The sequence below is a fragment of the Homo sapiens genome, chromosome 10, assembly GCF_000001405.40.
Source record: "Homo sapiens chromosome 10, GRCh38.p14 Primary Assembly".
In the NCBI taxonomy this organism is placed as follows: domain Eukaryota; kingdom Metazoa; phylum Chordata; class Mammalia; order Primates; family Hominidae; genus Homo; species Homo sapiens.
In genome coordinates, this window is record NC_000010.11 from 73,738,268 (window position 1) to 73,742,963 (window position 4,696).

At 47.3% G+C, this 4,696-nt stretch overlaps 2 annotated features.

Annotated features, from left to right (window-relative positions):
* Positions 2,646–3,213: an enhancer, noted in NCBI's record as "H3K27ac-H3K4me1 hESC enhancer chr10:75500671-75501238 (GRCh37/hg19 assembly coordinates)". NCBI's record gives its function as "activates a minimal SCP1, AML or CMV promoter by ChIP-STARR-seq in primed H9 embryonic stem cells {active_cell/tissue: H9 hESC(primed)}" and the evidence as "EXISTENCE:reporter gene assay evidence [ECO:0000049][PMID:30033119]".
* Positions 3,214–3,781: an enhancer, noted in NCBI's record as "NANOG-H3K27ac hESC enhancer chr10:75501239-75501806 (GRCh37/hg19 assembly coordinates)". NCBI's record gives its function as "activates a minimal SCP1, AML or CMV promoter by ChIP-STARR-seq in primed H9 embryonic stem cells {active_cell/tissue: H9 hESC(primed)}" and the evidence as "EXISTENCE:reporter gene assay evidence [ECO:0000049][PMID:30033119]".

Sequence of the window (4,696 nt, forward strand, 5' to 3'; positions counted from 1 at the left end):
CGGGGTTTCACCATGTTGGGCAGGATGGTCTTGATCTCCTGACCTCATAATCTGCCTGCCTCAGCCTCTCAAAGTGCTGGGATTTGGGATTACAGGCATGAGCCACCGTGCCTGGCTATCCTATGATAGATTTCTAAAATGTTATGTTTGATTTGGCATCCTTTTTTTTGTGTTTTTTTTTTTTTTTTTGAGATGGAGACACACTCTGTCACTCAGCCTGGAGTGCAGTGGCACAATCTCGGCTCACTGAAACCTCTGCCTCCCAGGTTCAAGCAATTCTCTCACCTCAGCCTCCCAAATAGCCAGAATTACAGACATGTGCCACCACACCTGGCTAACTTTTGTATTTTTAGTAGAAAAGGGTTTTCACCATGTTGGCCAGGCTGGTTTTGAACTTCTGACCTCAGGTGATCCACCTGCTTCCACCTTCTAAAGTGCTGGGATTACAAGTTTGAGCCACTGCGCCTGGTGTGGTATGTGGTTTTACTGCATGTGACTAGTTTACATGCAACTAGCCATGCAAGTTCAGTAACCCAAGGCGGTCTATACCCTGTTCAACAAGAACCATCTACTGATGACACTTCTGGAAGTCTGGGCAATATCAACTTGCTGTAAGAGTTCCCAAATGCTCTCAATTATCAGGTGATAACAAAGTTTTCAAACCAGTAAATTTTGAGTAGCCCTTTACTAGGAATAATCTTGAATAAGTTAGTATTGCCCTCCACAACCACAATTTAAAAAATATCCGTATTGGTTTTCTCTTCAATTCAAGCATCATGTAAATATGTAATGTAGAAAATGAGGATTTCCCATATTCCCATAGAATCACAAAGATGATCACTGGTAATATGTGTGCTACATATATGATACCAGGTTTATTCTTTTTTTTTTTTTTGTCTTTTTTTTTTTTTCTGTCACCCAGGCTAACATCCAGTGGCACGAACTTGGCTCATTGTATCCTCTGCCTCCCGGGTTCAAACAATTCTCCCACCTCAGCCTCCCAAGTACCTGGAATTACAGGCACCTGCCACCATGCCCACCCAGCTAAATTTTTTTGTATTTTCAGTAGAGACGAAGTTTCACTAAGTTGACCAAGTTGGTCTCGAACTCCTGACCTCTGGTGATTCACCCACCTTGGCCTCCAAAAATGCTGGGATTAAAAGCATGAGCCACTATGCCTGGCCATTTTTTTGTACTCTTATACAATTATATACTTGCTTTATAAAAATGAACTTATTCTACATATATATGTTATTACATTATTAGGACATGTTCCCTAATGACATATTACATTTTCATCACTTTTTTAAAATATTTTTTTCCTGAGACAGCATCTCACTCTGTTGCCCAGACGGGAGTGCAGTGGCCTAATGACAGGTCACTGCAGCCTCAAGCTCCTCGGTTCAAGGGATCCTCCCATCTTGGCCTCCTGACTAACCCAGCTAAGTTTAAAAAAAATTTTTTTTTTTGGCCTGGCGCAGCAGCTCACACCTATAATCTCAGCACTTTGGAAGGCCAAGGCAGGCAGATCACTTGGGGTCAGGAGTTTGAGACCATCCTGGCCAACATGGTAAAACTCCGTCTCTACTAAAAATACAAAAATTAGCTGGGCATGATGGCAGGTGCCTGTAATCCCAGTTACTTGAGAGGCTGAGGCAGGAGAATCACTTGAGCCCAAGAGGTGGAGGGTGCAGTGAGTCAAGATCATGCCACTGAAATCCAGCCTGGGTGACAGAGCAAGACCCTGACTCAAAAATAAATAAATAATAACTATAACTTTTTTTTTTCTTTTTTGGAGAAACAAGTCTCATTATGTTTTTGAACTCCTGGACTCAAGCAATCCTCCCATCTCAGTTCCCAAAGTGCTGGGATTACAGGTGTGAGGCACTATGCCCAGACATTTTCATCATTCTTTCTTTTTGAGATGGAGTTTTGCACTTGTTGCCCAGGCTAGGGTGTTACGTCACGATCCCGGCTCACTGCAACATCCGCCTCCCAGGTTCACGTGACTCTCCTGCCTCAGCCTCCTGAGTAGCTGGGATTACAGGCATGAGCCACCACGCTCGGCTAATTTTGTATTTTTAGAAGACATGGGGTTTCTCCATGTTGGTCAGGCTGGTCTCAAACTCCCGACCTCAGGTTATCTGCCCACCTCGGCCTACCAAAGTGCTGGGATTACAGGCGTGAGCCACCGTGCCCAACCCATTTTCATCATTCCTAGTAGCCATGGAGCATTCCCTTTAATCAACTGTACATGAAATTTTTTTTTCTGGGGGCAAGGGGCTCATATTCACACAGATGGGAGTCCAGTTGGTGAGAAGGTGGCAGGCGGCACAGCCACCTTATACAGCATGCCATACTGGTCCACTGTCAGACCGGTGATGGCCACAGCTCCATCACCCCGAGGCGGACTCTGGCTCTGCCCAGCCACCACAACCCCTGGGGACCATTCAGAGGCATCACTGGAGGGTGTGTGGTTAGTGGAGCAGCTGGTTGTGGGGAGGTCTCGTTTCTTTGGTGGAAGGCATTCCTGACTCCTCTCATGAACAGGTTTCATATTGCTTTGTGGTGTTCCTGGAGCCTGGAAGGAGTTGGCTTGCTCCCTGGGGCATCAGGAGGGGCTTCTCGGTAGTTTCCCTGTACCCCTCTAGGTTTCTGGCTGGGGCGCCCACATCTGAGCTTCCAGCAGTGCTTCTGAGCAGCTGTAGTAAGCGTCCTCCCGGCTGGCTCGGGAGCTCACAGCGCTTCCCGGGATCCACTTGCTCGTCCTGGAGCTGCCGCAACTGTGGCCGTCCCATCCCTGGCCCTGGAGCCGCCCCATACCCCTTTTGAGAGTGAGACTCTCAAAAAACAAAAAAAAGAAAGAAACTATGAACTATGGTCCGGGCATGGTGGCTTATGCCTGTAATCCCAGCACTTTGGAAGGCCAAGGCGGGCAGATTGCTTGAGCCCAGGAGTTTGAGACCAGCCTGGGTAACATGGTGAAACCCCATCTCTACAAAAATACAAAACTTAGTTAGCTAAGAGTGGTGGCACATGCCTGTAGTCCCAGCTACTAGGGAGGCTGAGTGGGGAGGATCACTTGAGCCTGGGAGGCAGAGGGTGAAGTGAGCCAAGATCATGCTACTGCACTCCAGCCTGGGTGACAGAGACCTTGTCTCAAATAGAAAAAAAAAAAGGTGGGGGGAGGGGGAAGAAAGAAACTGAATCTAGGATCTACCACTTATCAGGGGTGCAACCTTTTTTTTAAGATGGAGTGTTGCCCTGTGTCCCAGGCTGGAGTGCAGTGGTGCAATCTTGGTTCACTGCAACCTCCGTCCCCTGGGTTCAAGCGATTCTCCTTCCTCAGCCTCCTGAGTAGTTGGGATTACAGGCATGTGCCACGACATCCAGCTAATTTTTGTATTTTTAGCAGAGACAGGGTTGGCCAGGCTGCTCTCAAACTCCTGACTTCAGGTGATCCGCCTGTCTCGGCCTCCCAAAGTGCTAGGATTACAGGCATGAGCCACCATGCCCGGCCCTAGTGGGTGCAACCTTAAGCAAGACAGAGGATATTTACTTTCCTATATCGATATGAGTCAAGTGGGATGAATCATGTGAAAATGCTTAGCAGAGGACCAGTTTAGGTCAGGTGCTCAACATATCTTAGTTGAATTTGGCAAATTATTCATCTAGACTAGTGGTTCTCAATCAGCAATGGAATCACCTGGAGGGCCTTAAACCATAGCTTGCTGGGCCCCACCTCCAGAATTTCTGGCTCTTATCTATGTAAAGCGGGTCTGAAATTTGCATTTCAAGCAAGTTTCCAGGTGTTACTGATACTGCTGATCTGAGGATCACACTTAACCACTGACTATAAACTGATAGGTCAGGTGTGGTGGCTTCACACCTGTAATCTCAGCAATTTGGAAGGCTAAGGTGGGAGGAATTTGAGACCACCCTGGGCAACACAGGGAGACCTCACCTCTACAAAAAATTAGCCAGATGTGGGGGCACATACCTGTAGCCCTAGCTACTCAACTACCCAGCTACTCCTACTGAGGTAGGAGGACCACTTGAGCCCAGCCTGAGCAACATAGCAAAATCGTCTCTAAAACAAAACAGGCTGGGCGCAGTGGCTCACACCTGTAATCCCAGCACTTTGGGAGGCCAAGGGGGGCGGATCACAACGTCAGGAGATCAAGACCATCCTGGCCAATATAGTGAAACCCTGTCTATACCAAACATACAAAGATTAGCTGGGGTGGTGGCGCATGCCTGTAATCCCAGCTACTCGGGAGTCTGAGGCATAAGAATCGCTTGAAACCAGGAGGCGGAAGTTGCAGTGAGCCAAGATTGGGCCACTGCACTCCGGCCTGGAGACAGAGCAAGACTGTCACAAAACAAAACAGAGGACAAGAACAATCTGCTTGTTTAGTAAAGCATGCTCAATGCCTAATATATAGTTTCCAGCACAGCCTAAAGTGCAAATTTTTCAGTGAATAAACCACTCTGTGCCTCAGAATAACTGATATTTACTGTCAATAATATGAGAACAAACACTTTTGTTCACTGCTCTATTTCCAGACCCAAGAACATGGCTTGGCACACAATGTCAGCGCTCAGTGGGTTCACCCTGCCTGCTGCCTTGACAAAGCTGATTTATCAAGACCAGGGAATTGCAATGGAGAAAGAGTAATTCACGCAGAGCCAGCTG